The 22,329-nt window shown below is 32.1% G+C and overlaps 1 long non-coding RNA gene across 1 annotated transcript in view, besides 2 other annotated features; it reads left to right on the top strand.

The window, feature by feature from the left end:
* The window catches only part of LOC107985242 (uncharacterized), a 199,987-nt gene that overhangs the window by 10,093 nt on the left and 167,565 nt on the right, over nucleotides 1–22,329 (top strand). The window lies entirely within an intron of this gene.
* Nucleotides 8,822–9,022: a silencer, noted in NCBI's record as "peak614 fragment used in MPRA reporter construct". NCBI's record gives its function as "represses an SCP1 promoter by STARR-seq MPRAs in K562 erythroleukemia cells {active_cell/tissue: K562}" and the evidence as "EXISTENCE:reporter gene assay evidence [ECO:0000049][PMID:32103011]".
* Nucleotides 9,142–9,342: a silencer, noted in NCBI's record as "peak613 fragment used in MPRA reporter construct". NCBI's record gives its function as "represses an SCP1 promoter by STARR-seq MPRAs in K562 erythroleukemia cells {active_cell/tissue: K562}" and the evidence as "EXISTENCE:reporter gene assay evidence [ECO:0000049][PMID:32103011]".

The raw sequence follows: 22,329 nt of genomic DNA, 5'->3' as shown, positions 1-22,329 counted from the left end.
GGGGACACAGCCAAACCATCTCACTGGTCTTTTTACTTACGTGAGCAAAAATATTAACCTTATATTTACTATATATAAATGCATTTGGATTGTTATGTTCTGACATCTATAACTAACAAATGTGTATTAAGGATAAACAGATGTTGAAGATAAAGTGAGTAGGAATATCCAAGTTACTTTAGTGAATATTGCTAGAATTCTGTGGCATTTTCTATCCCTGAATATGGAGAAGTAGGGTCAGGACAAAATATGTTACTTTCTCACCTCAGGTTTTAAGAAAATCATGCAAGGAGCACAATAATACAAAAGGATTCCCTGGAGTGTGAGTCACACAATGGGCTCTAATTCATATATCAATGATCTATATATAGATCTGTGAATACAGACCTGATGTCAGAGCAGAAGAATGCCTTTTCCATCTACGAGATACAACTTGTAAATTTTGCTCTAAAACACTAGTATTACAAGAGCTTTTCCCTAAGATAGGTGTCAATCTAAGAAAAAGCCGATATTTTTGACAAGGCCATGGGGAACATAATGTCCCATTTTATTGCTGAGAGAGAGAGATATCACAAATTTGTGTTTATGTTACAGGCAATTGACTATAGCTACATGACCTAGATTTAATATTATCTTCTAACATTAAAACAAAAATTGTTTTTTCTTTTACTTCCCCTAGAATATGCCTATACACCCCCTCCCTAGTTAACTTATCTGCATTATAAATGTAGGTATTATCTCTTTCATGGGAGAAGATACTGTTATAGATCACTTTGTCCCCAGAACTTTTTGGAATTTAAACTATAAATATAACAATCCTGTAAATCTGTTTAGTGTCCTGGAACTTAGAAAATGTTTCCAGTTTCTTTTGCATGAAAGGTTTGAAATTCAATTCTTTCTTTTTTTTTTCTGGCTGTCAAGGTATTAAATATAATTTTATCAGGTTCTAAAGATGGAATTTAACCATAACTGACACTTAGCTGAGTATGAAAGGAAAATTGCAGAAGGCAGATATATGGCCTACAGTTTCTAAGTTTACTAAAAATTTGTTTAGTGGTCCAGTTTTAAGTTTGTTATTAAAGAGAAGAAATATATTTCTACAGAAGCCTGCCAATAAAAGAAGTTCGTATTTTTACAATTTCATACTTTTAAATTAGTTGGATTATGCTGCTACAAGGCGCTCTGATTGAATGGAATTGGTACAAGCTTGAGTCGAGGAGCTCTAGGTCTAATTCACGGTTCTGGTATTTATTAGACTTGTGACAGCAAGCTAGTTACTAAACTTCTCTATATCTCTCTTCTCATCTCTAAGATAGGTGCTATGATGGGTATTATAACGTGATACCAATGTGTATTTTAATTGTCTTAAGCCCTTATTCTAAGGAACATTATTTGTTCTGGTTAGAAGTTCATTCCTCAGATATATTCAGATAGTCTTTCATTATAGGGCCTCTCCAAAGGCAGTTATTGAAACAGCTCAGCTATCTTTATTAGCAATCAACATTTGAGGACATTCTATTTAACATAAGAAATATAAATATTAAAATTTAGATTTTCACTGGTAAATTTAGTAACTTGTTGATTTGCATATTGAAAGATTTAAAATGATACTTTATGGGTAAAATAAGCAGTATTTAAGAAAATTGATTGACTGGAATATTTTAACATTATTCCTTACACTTTGTTATACAAGGTAAGCCCTGTAGTTTGTACTCTTTAGCAAGGAAATCCAAGTTTAATCTTTAAATGGTCTTGTGTTCCATTATGGGGAGAGAGAAAGTTGGAGTGGGTTATTTGTCTAAAAATAAGATTCTAAAACCCTGCTCCTAGAGTATGATTGCATCCTCTTTGAGCAAACATTTTGGTCAAAATTTGATTGGACTACCTAGCAAGACAAAGAGCCAAGAGAAGCTGAATGAACTGTAATGTGTGTCCTTACTAAGGAATGCACATTTAATAAATGGCTGGATATATGTAACATGTTAATGGGACCAAAAGTTTTGATGACTATACTTTAAACCAAAAGTAGCTTCAAGGTTGTGTTTATCTCACTGTCTTAATTCAGTTTACAACAATGGTTATTCTAAAATTGCTTCTTTTACAGGGGAGATTAAATAAGATCAGGTACTTAATGTACATTAAGTGCTCAATCAAATACTAGCTCGGCTAATAGAAGTAGACGATGGATTACTCATTATGTAATTGTGTCATTACATTTGCTCATTACATTACATTATCATGTCTGGGAATCTAAGTTGAGTAACATAGGATAGGAAAAAATCAAGAATGGAATTAGGACAAGTGAATTTTTCCAATGTATAGGCATATATCATTTTATTGTACTTCACCGATACTGCCATTTTACAAATTGAAGGTTGGGGGAAAGTCTACTGGTAACATTTTATTTTTCAATAGCACAAGCTCATTTTGTGTCTTTTTGCCTCATTTTTGTAATTCTCGCAATATTTCAAACTGTCATTATTACTCTGTTTTGGTGATCGTTGATCAGTGATCTTTGATGTTACTATTGTAAATGTTTTGAGATGCTACAAATCATGCCCACATTAGATGACAAACTTAATCAACAAATGTTTTGTATGTTCTCAGTGCTCCACTCACCAATCATTTCCACATCTTATATTCCTTCTCTTTGGGCCTTCCTATTCTCTGAGACACAACATTATTAAAATTAGGCAAATTAATAACCCTACAAGGACCTCTAAGTGTTCAAGTGAAGAGAAGATCCTCCTGTCTCTCGAATTAAATCTAGAAATTATTCAGTTTACTGAGGAAGGCATGTCAAAAAGCAAGGTAGGCCAAAAGTTAAGCATCTTCTGCTAAACAGTTAGCTGCATTGTGAATGCAAAGGGAAAGTTCTTGAAGGGAATTAAAAGTGCTAGTCTAATGAACAAGCAAATAATAAGAAAGGGACACAGCCTAATTGTAATATGGAAAACTTTTGAGTTGTCTGGATAGAAGAACCAGCCCTCACATTCCCTTAAGCCAAAGCCTAACCCAGCTCAAGGCCCTAACTCTCTTTAATTTTATGACAGCTGAGAGCTGAGAGTGGTAAGGAAGCTATAGAAGAAAAGTTGAAAACTAGCAGAGGCTGGTTCATGAGGTTTAGGAAAAGGAGCCAGATCCATAACATAAACATGCAAGGTGAAGCAGTAAGTGCTGATGGAGAAGCTGCAGCACGTTAGCCAGACGATCTAGCTTAGATCACTGATGAAGAGGGCTACAATAAAACAATAGATTTTCAATGTAGACAAAACAGCCTTCTATTGGAAGAATATGACATCTTCTATTGGAAGAATATGACTTTCATAGCTTGAAAGAAGTGAATTATTGGCTTCAAACATTCAAAGGACAGGTGGACTTTATTGGTAGGGGCTAATGTAGCTGATCACTAAGTTGAAGCCAATGTTCATTTACCATGGCAAGAAGCCTAGGGCCCTAAATAGTTATGCTGAATCTATTCTGCCTGTGCTCTAAAAATGGAAAAACAAAGACTGGATAACAGTATATCTATTTACAGTACTGTTTACTGAACATTTTAAACCCACTTTTGAGACCTATTGCTTAGAAAAGAATATTCCCTTGAAAAGATTATTGTTCTTTAACAATAATCTGTACACCCAGTCAGCCAAGAGCTCTGATGAACACGGAGACTAATGCTATTTTCATGCCTGCTAACAGAAGATCCTCTATGTAGCCCACAGATCAAGGAGTAATTTTGACTTTCGAGTCTTGTTTGTCTTATTTAGAGTCTTACCACAGATTTGTGTTAAGTAAATTGAAAATCTTGAAAAGATACACCATTCTACATCTCATTAAGAACATTTATGATTCATTAGATAAGGTGAAAATATCAATATTAAAAAGAGTTTGGAACAAGTTGATTCCAGCCCTCATGGATCGCTTTGAGGGGTTTAAGACTTCAGTGAAGACAGTAACTGACGATGTGATGGAAATGGCAAGAGAAATAGAAAGAGAAGTGCAGCCTGAATAAGGGACTGGATTGTGGCAATCTCATGATAAAACCACATCAGATGAGAAAAGGCTTCTTGTGGATGAAAAAAATAAAGTGGTTTCTTGAAATGGAACCTACTTCAGCTGAAGTTGCCATTAACATTGTTGAAATGAGAACAAATAAATTTAGAATAGTATATCAAGTTAATTAATAAAGCTCCAGTAGTTTGAAAAGATAGACTCCAATTTTGAAAGAAGTTCTATTATGAATAAAATTGTTCATGAAAGGAAAAGTCTATCAATGCGGCCAATTTCATTGTTGTCTTATTTTAAGAAATTGCCACAGCCACACCACCCTTCAGCAACCAATCAGTCAATCCTGACCAGTCAACAGCCAAAAACAAGGAGAATTTATTAGAGTTCTTAGGATTGAGAAACTAAGTAATTACATTTTACAAATTATGAAGATTTTGTATAAACAGGACATTTTATTTTCATAAAAATTTTGGAAGATCGTATATGTTATATGGGCTCTTAAAAATATTTAAATGAAATGCCTTTTATATATATTTGTAATATAATATATTACGTAATTCAAGTAATATTTCTGTATAATAATGAAATGGGAAAACTTCCTTTATCCCCCGGTAGGTCATGTGATGGGGATGCTACTTACTCTTTTGAGGTCCCACTGCTCAAACCTCTAGGGGGAGCATGCAGACGGGCAGGCTGTGTGGCTCCGACCCCACAGCAGCCTCTAGGGGTGAATGCTTCCTGAAGCCCCAGTGGGCATGTTGCAGTGTGCTCTTTTAGTTTAGCCGTATATAGGCGGCTTGTGTTAATAAGCTCAATTAGACCCTCTGCCTTATTACAAGGACAGAGGGCTTTCTGTACCCCCGGTACTTGCATTGGTGTACCAGAAAAGTCGGATCACACCTGAGCTTGAAGAATGAGTGCAAGTTTTTATAGAATGGTGGAAGTAGCTCTTAGTAGATGGATCGGGAGACAGAAGGGGGATGGAGTGATAAGGTGGTTTTCCCCTGGAGTCAGGCTGCTCAGCGGCTGGGCATTCCTCCGACCAGCTCTGACTGACATCTGTGTCGCCTTGCCGTAGATGGCCTGCCAGCATCTGCTGGGGTCTGCTGCTGTCTTCTTCCATCGGTGTGTTCCTGTCAACGTTCAGCCAACTGTGTCTCTGCCCGCTAGGGTCTCGGGGCTTTTATAGGCACAGGATTGGTTCATGGCAGGCTAGGGTGGTCTTGATAAATGCAACATTTGGCACAAAAACAGAAATGCCTGTCCTCACCTAGGTTCATGGGCACAGGCCTGGGGATGGAGCCCTAGCCAGGGACCATGCCCTTCTCTACACAGCACTTCCCTGCCACCCTCCTGTATCAATAATATATAATTGTATATAAATCTTATTTTATATAATAATACATAAATATATAATACATTGTTTTATATAAATATATTTTACATATATTTTAAATATATATTATATAATACATATATAATATAGTTATTGTATAATATACATTACATATATAAAAGGCATTTTATTTAAATATATATAATTATATATATTTAGTGAAATTCTATGTTGAGTAAATGCTTGAATAGATACATTAGTTATATAGTAACAGACAATGGATTATAAATACAAATTAGATTTTTCATCGGCCAGATTTAGATTTAGAAAATGTAATATTTTTAAAATAAGTTTGATTAATTTTGTATTTTGTTTGACTATGTCAAGTAAGATGTTTAAACATTATTTATCATATTGTGACTCATTAATTTTGTTTCTAGCTAACTGAATTTCTGAAATTTCACAAAGGAAACAAATGTCTTTTCTATAATAATTTCTTGCGCATACAAATCACTAGAACCATTTCTGTGAGACATCAAAATATAGAATGAAAGGACTCAAGAGTCAAACCTAGAAGCCATAGCTGTGATGTTTATCCCAGCCACCACCTCTTACAAGCAGCCTAGTATCTTGGCAGGAAGTACAGTCAGATGGCCCTCAGGTTTCAGCCCTCTTACAAATGTGACCCAGCCAATTGTATGGGTGTTTTTAGGCTTCTAGTAGAATTAAAGTAGAGAAAGAGATAGAAAAAATATATATATACACATATATTCCATATTTATACATTAATTTCTACAATTTGTATTCTAAATCTGTAGATCTTGTCTATTCAATAAATGCTGAATATAAGTGTTGTAAGAGGCTTGTATGGCTTTGTAAAACTTCACGTTGTATCAACTTCCTTCACTTTAGGTAAAATGGCTATAGATTTAATTGCCCATTAGCTGAACATCTGTTACTCAGTTTATTGAAGTTTAATTACTTATGTGGTTCTGGATTTCAAATGTGTACTGTATAATGACTTATACTGTAGGTGTAAAAATGGTTTTAACAATCTTTAAATTGTACAGTGTTGCCTTAAATACTTACAACTGATGTAGAAAGTTAGTGGGACCTTAAGTATTAGAAACTATGCAGAAAAACAATAATAAAGGGGATTTACAGTTTAAAAAATAATTTAGAATAAATTATTTTCTTTTTTCCTATTACGAATTAATGGGGTGGACATTATTACTTTCTTAATTTTATATCCCCAAAATCTGAAACACAGAAATTGATTAATAAAGTCAATGAAGTCACTGAGCCTGTAAAATATTGAACTCTGACTTAAACTATGCAGGGTCTTGTTCCTCAAAATCTGTGCTCATGTTAGCATACCTCATTTTCCGCATTGTTTTGAAATTTAACAGCTTTGACACGTTTAGAAATTAGTTTTGAAGTATTAGATCCTGTGAGACTTTTGAATGAGGAGTGAATCATTAGGATTTTTAATAAATTATTGTTATATAACCTATATAGCCCCCACTCCAGTTTAAGAGTGAATTCATTACAAATCTTTCAAACCTACAAATGATTGCCATTTTACATATTATTCATTTTCATAAAATATTAGCAACAAAGTCATTATTTATTATTTCCTTTTAAGTATGTAAATGATTTAAAGTTGAATTTCCTCACTGGAAAACTGGGACCATAAAGAAAATCTCCACACACAGTGGGTCATCCCATTTTTCTATTCAAAATGCTTCTCTCTACTTTTTAACTTCACTCCGAAAATTTACCCTAATTTTTTAACTGAAGCCCAAGTAGCAAAACGAACAAAAATGACTTATACTGTAGGTGTAAAAAAATGGTTTTAATAACCTTTATCTAAATTGCACAATGTTGCCTTAAACACTTCTAATTGATTAGAAAGTTAGTGGGGCCTTAAGTATTAAAAACTATGTAGAAATCTTTATTCATAACAGATTGTATTATATATATCAAGTTAACTTAAATTCACCTTGTAAATTTTCAGTATAACTTCAATAATTTCTTTATTCTAATAAATGATAATGTTGTCTTATACATATATTTTTTCTTTTCCACAAACTAGAAAAAGGTATTTGTTCTAATTTTTTTTAAAATAAAGTCTCCCCACCTCTTGAAAGCAGTGTTTTTAAATGTCACCATTAACACTTCCTTTTGTAAGTGTTAAAATTTTGTTGGGCCCACACAAATAAGTGGGAGGTGCTAATGGACACTTCTTATTTTTTCCTGAATGCAGTGCATGTATATTTTTTTAGAAAAAAATGCCACATGGCTTTTTAAAACTTAGTGGTTTCTCTTCTTACTAACTGAATTTTACATGAACGACCACAAGTAATGGCATAAATCTTTATGCTCTGCCATATAGATATATGTAGTATATACATATGAAATATTAATATAAATTATAGGCTTATTTTATGTGCATGTCGATTAAATTTATTTTTTGCATAGAACTATTAAGGAACAACCTATCTCTGACACAGTTAAATGAATGTGGACCTCAGACACATCACACATTCATGATATACCAGAGAAAAATCTATGTACCTATTAACTGTCATTGAGAATAACATAAAGATATAACATGAACAATAATAGCTTTAAATCGTTTTGTGATGAACTACACCATATGTTTCTATCTGGACTTCTCAGAATCCCAATCATCCAAAAGCTTGAACATCTGCTGCCATTTTGCGGATAATTGCTTTAAGATGCATTTTGTCCTTCCCTGTGTTGATTTCTCCTTCTGTCTCTGTTAGGTCCAATTGGATGCTTATCACATTCCCCCTTCTAAATGTGTCTGCTTTCCTCTGGAGTTTACTTTGCAAACTAAATACTTTTATCTAAGAAAAAAATCTGCCAGGTGTATATCTTTCCAAGATACATGAAAATTGATGACAAAGATTTATCCTTCTGCTTCCTCTGTATTCTCAACAAATATTTAGATTAGATTCAACCTTTAAAAATGTAACATGCCTTCCTCTCTTCTCTGAATAATGGATTGCGGTATTTCTACAGAGCTGCTTTGTGATTAAAAGGTATTGAGAGCCCATAAGCCAAAACAAGCTTTCTTCTCCTTTTTTGATTACTTTAGAAAAATTAAAGAATTTAAAGAACATTTTAAAATCTGAAATGATTTTGCTTAAATATTAATTTCAAGGAAATAATTTGATTGAAGTAGACTTAAGGCAATATTGTATGATAAGAGGAAACTGTTTTACTTAAGTCTTACTTGCCTATCAGTAAAAAGAAATTTTATAATTACTTTTCACATAATACATATACTTCTCTGGTACTTTTACGGACAAATTTTCAATCTTGGATGTTTTTCTCTTTGGATTTTTTCTCAACTTTCAAACTTTGTAGTATTATAAAGACATAGTGATTGGTATAACGTAATAGTGTGAAACATAAACTACTTTTCCAACAATATAGGATTATTAAATACATTGAGTGCTAAATACCTATGAAGAGAGTGTTTATTTTCCTTTAAGAAAAGGTAGTCTGCATGCAACGCTCTTCTATGTGTTTATAGAAGTTCTTAGGTCATATTGGACAAGAAAACTCATAATGAGTTGACACTGGCAGTGATGAGTAATTTCTCCCTTTTTGGAAACACTGCCTCAGCATGAAAAGCAGTGTTTCAATGATCTTTTATTAGACATGTTTCTCAAGCATTGTTGAAAAAGGTTATAGCCACAGACTATTTTCATTGAAACTTGATGATCAATTTTGTTGTGATACCCATCCTCCCACAAGAATTTATATAAATGAAGTGGATGACAGCCCAGAAAAGGCAGAAAGAAAATGATCTATTTGAAAAACCACAGACTTGCAACTGCTTAAATCATATGGTCTGTTTAATAAGGTCTGATTTGTCTCAATGTAGTTTATTATCTTTCAACAAACAATGGCAGGGCTAAATTTTTCTTGATTGACATTCCATGTTTGTCTGAACTTACAAAAAGTGATTTACATTTACCCTTACTATAGGAGATTATTTTGATAAGGACTGAAAATTGGAGCAAATTGCAAGCTACTTTGTCATGTCTGTTGGAGGGCTCCAGCTCCACTCCACCCAAACAATATTTAGCCTCTAAATGGATGGCAATTAGGGCAGAAAGAAGAGCAAGTAGGTCTCTGATTAAAAGATGAAATATCAGTGCTAAACAAAATGCACATTCCTAGATTCAGGAGGTAGCCGAGTATTTGTGTATAAGAGGGATATCACAAGTAAAGACTATTAGGAAAACAATATATATAGCTGTATTTAAGAACACTCTCGGGGAGATAAATATTGCTAAAATCAATGAGGAGTTATATTTTATAAATTGTGACTTACTCAGATCCTTACGACAAATTTGTTTCTACAATGTCTATGTATAAAGGTTTCTTTCAACTATAATGAAATTACATATAAAGTGGCATTTTCCTCTATCATTGTTGGGTGTATAACAGATTTCCTTCAAAATTTTTAATAGTCTAGCAATTATACACAACTTTTCCTTTACTTTAAAAAATGCCCATAAGTTATTTGACAAATGCAATTTTTTTATCTAATTTGAATAGATAAGTAAAGTGACTTATATAAATATATTAAAATCCTCTTGTATGTATTTTTGTGCATCTCAAGTGCATAAAATAGTAATATATAATATATTACATAATAATTATAATCCATGGTTTATGATTCATTGTTGTCATTAGTTCATGGAACTCTCATCTTTTATTGCACTTATGTATATCTTAATATAATAGTTATATCATATTGCTTTAGCTTTAGAAAGCTTCAGATAAGTTTGATCTTGACTATAGGCCACTGACATTCCTTCCTCAGAGCATTTGCTTTAGAAAACTTGCAATTGTAAATTCTTGCTCTTTCCCATTTTACCTTATATGTTCTCAGAACATTTACATTAGCCTATCATCTAACACCAAGATTATTTTAAAATAAGGTGTTGAATATCTTTTGTAATTATTTGAATACCATACATTATGTTGAAATTGTGATGGGTTTGAAACATTATAAAGTAAAAAAAATCCTAAATTCAGCATCATCAGTTAGGGACTGTCCTTGGTCATCTTTACTTTAAAACCTTTAAAAATCGTATTGTGCTAATGATTTTCGCTCAATAATATGTTGCTAAGATTCATCCATGTTTTGTGTGTAGCTCCAGCTAATTAATTTTTAGAGCTGTAATATATTTTTTGAGGGGATATACAACATTGTGATTTTGAACAGGATTTTTGTACACATTCTTGTAGATGTTTCCCAGTATAAATGTGTAAGAGTTGATTTTGAACATCATCTTGGATGTTAAGGGCTTTAGGGTATTAGAAGATCAAATTTTTAAATATTTTCTCAAAAGGATTTCCCAAATGGCTATATCAAATATCAATTTACAACATTTTCCAAGACTTGATAATGGCAATCTTCTCTTTCTCTTTACGAAACAGTGGACACGTTATTTATATGTTTGCCACATTAAGAGTAAAACCTTTTGTTTATCAAAGGTGTATTACAAAATTATAATCCAGTGGAAAAAATAAGATGATAAATTACAATTTGGAAATAGACAAAAATTCACAAGAGATACGGAAGCAAAACACATAAATAGGAATTTGAAAGAAAGGGAACATATATTGTCAAAAAACATATAAAAATGTTTTTAATTTTACCAAGTGATATGGTTTGGATATTTGTCCCCTCCATATCTCATGGGTGTGGAGATTTGATCCCCAATATCGAAGGTGGGGCCTAGTGGGAGGTGTTTGGGTCATGGGAACAGATTTCCCCTAAATGGCTTGGGGCCATCCCCTTGGTAATAAGCAAGTTTTCACTGTGTTAGATGGTGAGAGAGATGATAGTTTAAAGGAGCTGTACACCCCCTCTTCTCTCTTGCTCCTTCTCTTGCCATGTGACACACCTGTCACCCCTTCACCTTGCACCATCAGTAAAAGCTTTTTGAGGCCTCACCAGAAGCAGATGCTGGCACTATGCTTGTTGTACAGTCTGCAGAACTGTGAGCCAAATAAACCTGTTTTCTTTATAAATTAGCCAGCCTCAGTATTCCTTTACAGCAATGCAAAATTTATTAACACACCAGTCATCAATGAAGTGAAAATCAAAGAAAAAAACAAACAGAATATACAAATGACTGTTTAATGCAGACCATTCACAGAGGTGACAATCTTATTGCTAGTAATTGGTATGCATATATATTTTGATCCAATACATTATTTTAAATACTTTGTAGACATTTTTATGTGATATTCATGATTAAAATAAAGTAGGCAATATTGGTGTCCTGGTGGATGTATTTCAGAGTATTTATTTCCAAAGAACAACTCATTTTTAAACTATGTTTGCTAGCGAGAGTTATAATAAATACTGTGTGCAGATTTACTTAATAATAGTCTTTAATATATTAGTGCATTGCAAGGACTTTACATTTTCCTATAATAATTTTAAAGTATATAATACTATTGAAATTTCTATAACAACCCACTTTCTCAAAGACACAAGTATGTTGAAAAACTTACTAATGTATTTCTAAGACTGGTGATTATTGAAAGTCTTTTAAAACTTTTCTTTAGATGATTTTAAATATGTAATTTTAGAATTTTTTTAATTTATTAAAGCAATTTTGATTACAAAATATTAACTTTTTTAATTTGATGGTAGAATAACACATTTAAAGTATTTTATATATAGAAATAAATGTCTATATGCACTAACATTGGAAATGTCCAGATGGAACATAAAATATGGAAGTTTTAAAGTCTAAAATGAAAAGTTTGGAAGTGGAGCATGCGTAGCAGTAATAAGTGTATTCATTTTTTACGAAAGGCTTCAACTGGTACAAAGGGATTTCACTCCAGGAAGTAGAGGAGAAGAAAGCAAAGGAGTGAGTTAGTAGTGGTTGTAGTGGTTAAAACTGGGGAATAAGGAGCCCAACAGCAGGGGTTTGAATCCAAGCTTTTCTGCATATTAGCCTCTCTGCAATTAATTCCCCTCATTTTAAAATTATTATAATATCAGGAATACTTATTTTGTGGATGTTGGGAGGTTTAGGTTATACGCAACATATAACTTACATGTTTAGAACAATGACTGGTACATACAAGGTGCTATATAAAATATAGCTATTTGAATGTAATTTGTGTTAGTTTTTAGTATTGTATTAATTTAATAATTATTGAGTAGTCTAACTCCCTTTCTTTGACACATGCTTATTGAGTCCCAGAAAGTTGTGCTTCATTTCTAGTAAGTTATTACTTGAGTCTCAGCCTCATTCAGATTTACACTCGCTTACTTATGACATCTTTCCAAATATTTCACAAGAAAATATAATTTCAGAAACAGAGCAAGATATTAGGTCCTTACCAAACTTTCAACCCTAAATGGAAGTGCGTTTTACAATATCCCATATATATGATTACAAAAAGCTTTATGTGATGGAATTATCTACCTCATTAGGATACCCATTCAAGTTTGTGGATAATCCTAGTTATAACACATACACACCCCCTCATAAGTTTACAGTTAAAAACCAATTTATTTTCTTGCTAGATAAGCCAAAATATTTAATATGTTATATTATATATAATAATATATAAGTAATATATATGTGATAGATATTATATATAAATAATATTAAATAATTATAATTATAAGTAATATTAAACAAGTATATATAATATAGATAAGTATATATTATATACATTGTATATTGTTATATTTTATATTATGATTACATATAATTACATTAATGTTATTTAATATGAGTATTTTCAAAATTCTAAATAAGTCTTTCCCACCAACCTTGTACAATTTAATGGTATATATACTTATGTTATGGTTTGAGTTTTAAAAAATATTTTGTAATCTAAGATATCCACATTCTTACCCAGTTTTGTGTGGTTATCATCTCATATTTTTTAAAGATCTTTTTTTGACTTGATAACAAAGAAATACTTTTCTTTAGAAAAATATAACTTCAGCACACTTAGGTAATATCTAGCAAACCAAGGGGAGGATATATGGCCAAGATCAAGAAGGTCATAATTGCTATTCTTCACACAGCCTTCAAATTGTAAGCGGACATTGCAGAGGTAACAGAAAGGCTAAGACCCTTTACTGCTGTCACTCATGATTCAAGGAGGGAAAATATTAGTAAAAGATATAAACTTGGGCATAGCTATGAAAAGGAGTTATTTCTTGTTTTAAAGGGAAAGTCCACAGATCCCTTCTCTGTTAGCAAGAGGAAAAAAGATAAAGAGGTAATTCCAAAAGCTGATACATACAGAAATTCACCCACAAAAGAAGTGAAGAGAAAGGTAAAAACTCTATACATAGACAGAACAACATAAAGTGATATTGCTACGTGTGGGCAGATAAGAGAGAAATCGTGTGATTTTAGTTGTCATATCACATAATTCATAATAAAAGTCTTTGGATATACGCACATTCTGATTATATTCATCTCTAGTATTGCTCTTTGAGAAGTTTTTTTTCTTTAATCATTTTAGTATTTCAGTTTATTTCAAGTATTTAAATTTTGAGTCTTCTAAAGCACATTTCTATTTTACTATTGTGACTTAAGCTACATTTTGGGGGTTGAATGTCTCTATTTACAATAGTATCCTTTTAATATTAGGAAAAATTCCATATAATACCACAGATAACTACCATTTATCTCTACAAACACTAAGCCCTTTTAAAAATAATTATTATGCTATACATACATCACAAATTTTATAGGTAGTGTTCTTTCTAAATACAGCCATCAAGACTGATTTAATGGCATATTCAATATTTTAGCCTTCCTTAGGAACATTCGTCACTGTAGTTTTCAGTGAACTGACTGTGTAACTACTTTCAACATTTTTCATCTCTGATCTGTTTGTCAAATTGTCATCCTCATGTCTCCAGCCATCACCATTCCTGCTTTTAAGAGTTAACACTGTATACCCAGTATTTTCTGTCTCTTACGCAGTAAAAGCTATTGTCAACTGGGAATTATTCTGAGTGGTAAATTTTTAAAAACTACTTCTTATAAAAGGGTGAAATTGTGGAGAGACAATTAGATAGCCGGAAAGCTGATTGTTGAGTGAAAAAATGTTACTCTTTATTATTTTTAATTAGCTAGCACATTGCTACAATGGGAAATAAAAAATAAATTACAAATTAAATAGAGTTTTCTGTTTTTCAAAATGTAGAATAATAAATATTACATTATACAACTCCATTCAATTTGGAAACATGTAAAAATTAGGAAAAAATGTGAGTGTCTTTTTTACATTTCAAATTAGTATGAAATGTCTCAGAAAGCTGATTATGATCAGCTTTAGCACAAAGAATATAATCAGAGCTTGTCAAATCAATCTACTTAAAATTATTTTATAATATAAGGGGTATTTTATGATTCTAAGGCTGAGTCTCATGTAATGTTTAAAATAAATACAACTATCCTCAAGACCATGGTGATATGCTAATAGTTGATTATAAGAATATAAACTCATATTCAAACATCATAAAGTAACTTAATATTCTTCATAGTTTCTTGTCAAGCACTTACTTTTTACCTTGTTAAATTAATTGAAATATATATTCATTTTCCCCGATGTATGTATGTGTATGTGTGTATATACACATACAATCACACAAATAGTATTCATAGTTAAAATGAGGAAAGTAAGTCTCCTTCCCACCCAAGATCTGCAGTTTCTCCTATGAGAGACAACTACTTATCCTTGTTTTGTATGCATCCTTCCAGAAACATGCAATGTTTACATAGAAATAAGAGAAAAATAACATTCTTTTGAACCATTCTTTCACTTATATCTTGAAGATTCTTTCATTTCTGCATATTTAGATCTATTTTATTCTTTTTGTTAGCCACATAATAGTGTACTTCATTGTTAGACCATTATTTAGTGTTAGTGATGGACACTAAGTTGCTTCAGGGTCCATATTGCAAAAACATACACATCATCCATCTTTGTGCATATATGTTTGTGAGAAAATACTTGAAGTGGATTTCAGAGTCAAATAAATGCAAAATAATATCAGCAAATTATGATTCAGTGATCAAATTTCATACTGATTTCCTATTGCACTTACAATATGTGAATTTCTCTTTGTTTCTAACTCTTTCTAATATTGACCATTATGAAAGTTTTTAATCAACTTTTCATTTGACTGAAAGTCATTTCATATTTTCACGTACATTACTAAATGATATATATCTTTCAATTCGTAAGGAGTTATTATTCAACTGTTCTCAAGTTGTAAGGTTCTTAATTGGAACCAAGAGAGTACTTTGGATATATTAAAGAAATGTATGTTCAAGTATCCTTGCTTATTGCTTTCAAAATGAACCAGCTAAGTCCAAACTAGAGCAACAAATTTATGACTCATTTGATTCTTAAAGTTGACTCATTAACCCTGGCAAGAAAAAACAATTATTCTACAGATTGTCAAGAGAGAAAAAATGTTTTCCTGAATTTTAAATAAAACTTTAACATACTGAGTCCCACATACATAGAAGTAGAACTAAAAAAAGTATGAAAAAATATTGCCTCTTCAATGAGAAGAATGTATATTTCCTCATAGATTTTGTTTCTTAAAAGCAATGTTCTGCTGTTCTTTCATACATATTCTTGAAAGAACTTCATGAGGAGTATATAGTATATAAAATGAAAATTGCATTTATTTGGTCACAAAAATGTTGACCCTAAAATCACTTTTGGCTGTTATTGTTTTAAAGATTTCTTTTTTCGGCAGAGGTTGCAGTGAGCCGAGATCGCACCACTGCACTTCTGCCTGGGCGACAGAACAAGACTCCGTCTCAAAATAACGTAACATGACATAACATAACATAACATAACAGAACATAATATAACATAACATAACATAACATAACATAACATAACATAACATAACATAACATAACATAACATAACATTTTTCCCAGCTAGATGAGCTAATAAATTTCTTGTTCTGCTTAAAAAAAAAAAAAAAAAAAAAGATTTCTTTTTTCTTTCTCTTCCTGGCTTCCTTCCCTCCTCTCTCCCTTCCTCTTGCCCCTCCCCTCCTATCTCCCCTCCTCTCTCCTCTCTTCTCTTCTCCCCTCTCCTCTCCTCCTCTCCTCTCTTTTCCTTTCCTTTCCTTCAATGTGTACCTGACATGTTTCATCTCACGGTTGAGTTTCATTGTTGCTAAATGACTTTGGTTTACCTAATTCTTGAATAGCACCTGTGCTTGGATTCTGTTCATTGAATCATTATGACATGACTTTTGATTGTGGAGATCTACATTTATTTATTGATATAAAATATATGTTCTTAATTCTGAATCCTATTTTATGTAATGATTTATATTTTGAAACCATTGTTATTATATATTTAGCCATATGGTTTATTTTCGTATGTGCTAGTAGAAGTTCTCCATGTAGTAATTTGGAATAATTATAAACCGCTTAGTTCTTATACTGTTTACCTTTGTAAATTTATGCAATATAAATTTATCAATGTTCCTGTAGTTATTTGGAATATTTAGAAATGTTATAACCTTATAGGATTTTAATTGCTAAATTGCTGTGATAAAAGAAGAGAAAATAGAGCACTTCTATTTCTTATTTCCTCCACTCCTCACTCCTCCATTTATAGTTCTAACTTGAGTAATATTATTATGATTCTAAAATGGTAGGCAAGTTTATATCTTTTTTTTTTTTTTGAGACAGAGTCTCGCCCTGTCTTCCAGGCTGGAGTGCAGTGGCGTGATCTCGGTTCACTGCAAGCTCCACCCCCTGGATTCACGCCATTCTCCTGCCTCAGCCTCCTGAGTAGCTGGGAATACAGGCGCCTGCCACCACGCCCGGCTAATTTTTTGTATTTTTAGTAGAGATGGGGTTTCACCGTGTTAGCCAGGATGGTCTCGATCTCCTGACCTCGTGATCCACCCACCTTGGCCTCCCAAAGTGCTGAGATTACAGGCGTGAGCCACTGCGCCCAGCCCAACTTTGTATCTTTAAATTATATAATTCTGTTACTGGGTTTATCAACTTTTAAAAATAGCTATTTATCTTCTATTATGCAAAAAGAGGAAATCTACACACATATAGTACCTTCTATGTTTTAGAATAACAAAAAATATTTAATTTTGCCTATTCTTGGACAACAGTTTCTTAGGTCACACTTAACTTGCCTTGAGGAATTTGAAGACATTATTTCCATAGTTTGTTTTGAGAAAACATAAGATATGAGGCTAATTTTTCCTCTTAGAGGTGACTTTCTGTCTAGATACCAGTAGATGTCTTTATTTTTGCAGTCCTTTGTGACTCTAGAGTGTAACTCAATCCGCAGCAATATTTTCCTTTACATGTGACTAGGTTTTAGTATTTTACTATAATTTTTTCTTGAATTTTGTATTTGATTTTATAGTTTAAAAATGTTTGCTCTTAACATTTTCTGGAACATTATTTTTGTATCTTTTCTATCTGTCTTGTTTCCATGTATACTATTTTCAATTTGATTCCTTCTTACATTTTATTTTGCTTCATATTCTTAAGCTTGTCTTTTAAGTCTTAGACTACATTTTCAACAATGATTATCAGCATTAGCAATTCCTTTAATCTAAAGGGTCCTCACTTTTATTTCTCTTCAGCTCTTGAGTCTCTGTTTTTCCATCATACCAGAAAGACTATATGTATTTTCTTTTTCATATGAAGAACTGCTTAATTAGTGTTGGCGACAGAGTTCTCATTTCTGCTGACTTTGCCCCAGGATCTATTGAGGCAGGACCCTCTTTTGCTGTCCTCCAGCCTTGGTTCAGTCAGCTTATCACTTACACTACTCACAAGCATCAGTAAATATGAAGGTTTACTTCTCACTCTGTTTTCTTTTCTTCTGGTGCATATTTTAAAGATGAAAATTGTTAAAGAAAATTATGTTGTATCTTTTTAATTGTTCCTTTAAAACCCTTATCTAAGATATATTATTAATTGTCAAACTTGCATCAGAAATACTCTCTTTCTAACAATAATGGTTTTCATGAATTAGATGTTATGTGGGTTATTTTTAAGAATCACACTCTAAAACACAAAATTTTAATAATAAATAAAATTTGTCCATACAGATCAAGGAGAGAAAAAATATGTCTTGCTAAACTGTTATTAAGTTGTAGCTATGTATTTTAAAGATAGCTTTAAAATTAATTATTTACTATGCTTAAACATCATTTTGTAAGAATAGCAATAGTTTTAGGAGATTCTTGTAACTTGAAATGAGCCACTGACATGAATGAAATATAAATAATATGTACCACATGTTCATTATAAAACAAAGCATATAAAATCCCTGGAGTTATAAAATTCAATTAGTAATCATTTTGTGAGGCCTAGAAATGTAGTTATAAAACATCCCACTTTATTTGTAACTTAAATAGGTCTTTATGTCTGAAAACTTGGACTATCATTTAGTAGATAGTTTCAAATAGCCCTGTACCTGTTTTAATATATTAAAGCTGTATTGAGAATGCCAAAGTGATTACTACATATATTTATTCATACATATGTATTCATCCTTAAGTTAATTTGTTAGTTGAATAGCATATATATGGAACCAGAGAACCATGGTTTGAAAAACAAACATAGGCTGTTGTAACAGAAATTAAATACTACTTAGGCTATATAGGATGTCTTTTTTTAATTTTTTTACCCAATGCTTTGGTGTATCTTATAAATAACATAAGAGATGAGATCTGTGCTGTTGTTTAACTTTAACCTGACTTGGAAAGTTTCAACAAGATACTGGAGGTCATAGAAAGGATTTTAATTCTCTTTTAAATAATCAACGCCAACTCTTTAATTACTGTACTATATAATGCTGTTATTCTTCTAAAGGTATGTAATGCTATTGTTATATACATATCCTGAAAGACCTTATAAGTTCTAAATAAAAACTAAAAAAGTTAACAAAGCATACATTTGATAGGGTTGTCATTAATTGAAGCAAAAGTTCAAGATGTTCAGAAAGCAAGGCCCTGACTATGTTACTAGCCTATCGATATTTTATTAACTTTCTTTAACAATTTTAATGTCGGCTTCTTAAAGTACTTCATAATCTATGAGTTTATAAGAACAATTTTTTAAAGCATCCAAAAAAAAGCTGTTCATTTAGGGATAGACACTGATACAATGCATATGTATTTCCTACCATTTTCCTCCATCAAAATATGTGAATACAAATATCTTTTAACTGAGATCGTATGTTGGAATGATTTGCAGCTTGAAAGTGGTAATTAAATTTAACCAAGAAAGTTTTCCTGTGACTCTTGTCAGAAAATTCTATTGTAAGTAGCCATATAGTGTCCTATCTGTAGGTGTATTCTGATTGATTCAACCTTTTCTCTAGTTTTTCATCTATTTCCCTTTACATGTATATGTATATACATGTTGTATGAGTGTTTTGTATGTATATACGGCATGGAAAAAAGTATTATTCAAGTATATTTAATTATACGTCAATTAATTTTTCATGATAAACATAAACTATTGAGCAAAATAATTTATTACTTTGAAACATTTTGATATATATTTTAAATTTTTTATCAGAAAAATTTGTATCTATATACCATTTCTTAAGCCATGAATGAGGGTGTTAATTTTGTATTTATTCACTCCACTTATTTTATTAAAAAACCTGCTCACTGGTTATGTAGACATACTTTTAATTATAGTGTGTTTGAAAATATTTTGTCATGTTTACTAGATATCAGTATTTTATAATTGCTTTTCAATACATTTAGTTCATTTTGTGATATATTTGTCTTCTGAGTAAATATGCTTTTACTTCCATTGACTTGATGTATATACTTGCAGTATTAGTAGTGTTTCATCCCATGAGAGAAGGCATGGAGAAAGATAATTAATGGAGATAGGTGATAAGGAGAACATATTTCTATCTTTCCAGTATATAATCAAGTTGCTCTGCTCATTTTTTAATGATTCAAAATTATAAAATAATAAAAATCACCATCAAAATATTATAACCATCTATAATCAGGTTAACACAAATTATTTAGGCTTCTACCTCAGGTACTTTGTGACTGCAATTTAATTAAAAGAAAATAACACTGTTCCAATTAAAAACAGAGGAAAAAGTGGGTCATGACTGAAATGCAGTTTCTTTAGAATCAAAGGACATAAGGTATAATTAACAGAGGCCTAACTGGACAATGCAAAGATGCAATAATTTGTATGTTCTTTTGTTCATCTATATTAGAACATATGGCATTTGAGTCATGATATAAATAAACTAGACACATAACATTATATTCTGATGAACACAGTTAGTAAAATTATACTTTCAAATTATCTTAATTTTTTTTTCCCAGATCAGTGCTAAGTCTTCTAGTATTAAATTGGATTTGATTCAGGGTTAGGCGTGTGATATAAGAAAGACTTATAAAGTTTCTCCTGATGTGAAGAATAAAGATAATTTTTTAACCCCTGGGGTTGTTAAACTAGGAAGGAATGTCTAATTGAGAGTGGCAGTGAAGGAAAGTGGTCCCCATATTCTGTTAGAATACCAATCACTGGCTGGGTGTGGTGGCTCATGCTTGTAATCCCAGCACTTTGGGAGGCCGAGGCGGGCGGATCACGAGGTCAGGAGATCGAGACCAACCTGGCTAACATGGTGAAACCCCGTCTCTACTGAAAAGTTAAAAAAAATTAGCCGGGCATGGTGGCGGAAGCCTGTATTCCCAGCTACTCAGGAGGCTGAGGCAGGAGAATGGCGTGAACCCGGGAGGCGAAGCTTGCAGTGAGCCAAGATTGCGCCACTGCACTCCAGCCTGGGTGACAGAGTGAGACTCTGTCTCAAAAAAAAAAAAAAAAAAGAATACCAATCACCACCAGAAAACCAGTGAGCAGCACCACCCACCTTGAGGAATGTTATTCCTCATATTACCAAATTATAATAGGTTATAATTCTGTAGGGGGTTGATGTATATTCTGAGGTCAATATTTCCTTACCTACTTTACAAATTTAAAGAATTAGAGAATTAGAAACTAATATTAAGGACATAACCCACCTCAGAACATTGGGAACTTAATAAATGATAGAATTCTACAAATAGGACTTGATTTCAGAACTGTTTGTAAGAATACACATCTAAACAATAGCTCCAAGTATTCGAGTTGGACAAGCATGCATGTATATTGAATGTAATTCAAGGTGAGAACAAGAGCAGATGGAGATTTAATACAGTCAGAGATGAGAAGGAAAGGGTTAAATTATTTGATTAACATAGTATAAAATAAAATGCTTAAAAATATGCCATTTGACATTATTTCTTGCCCTCACATGTTCACACAAAAAATGTTTACAATAATTTACCATTGTTAAGAGAAAATGTGGGTATGAAAGACCAGCAATATCTTTTTTGGAATGATTTTTTTTTTTTGCCAAAAGGAAAAGAAGAAAAAAGAAAAACAATGTATTTTCTTTCTAGTATGAAAAGTTAGGAGGCATTCATCATTCAGACTAAAGAACAAAATATGCTTTATTTTTCTGTAAAATGACAACTGAACTTGCTTTCAATTTTAAATAATAAAAAGCTGCATGTTGCTTGCTATTGTCATTGTGGTCAACTTCCTCCCTCCCAGCTCTGGTATCATCAGTACAAGTCTCCTCACCTTCTAGGAAGACATTTTGTCTGCTCAGAAACTGCTGGGAGGTCAAGTTCTTTTATTTTAATAATAAAAATAATGAACAAAGGCACAAAAAATAGGACAAGGAGGCTAACTGCATTTACTATACTAAAAAGGATTGAAATCTATTTGTGTAAGAACAAAAAGCAGACCCTGAAAGGCAAGTGTGTGTGTGTGTGTGTGCGCGCGCGCGCGCGCCTGTTTAATGTTGTAAGTAAAAAGATATAGAAAGCATGA

This window comes from Homo sapiens, chromosome 1 (assembly GCF_000001405.40).
Source record: "Homo sapiens chromosome 1, GRCh38.p14 Primary Assembly".
NCBI lineage: Eukaryota > Metazoa > Chordata > Mammalia > Primates > Hominidae > Homo > Homo sapiens.
This window is presented reverse-complemented; position numbering and strand designations above follow the sequence as displayed.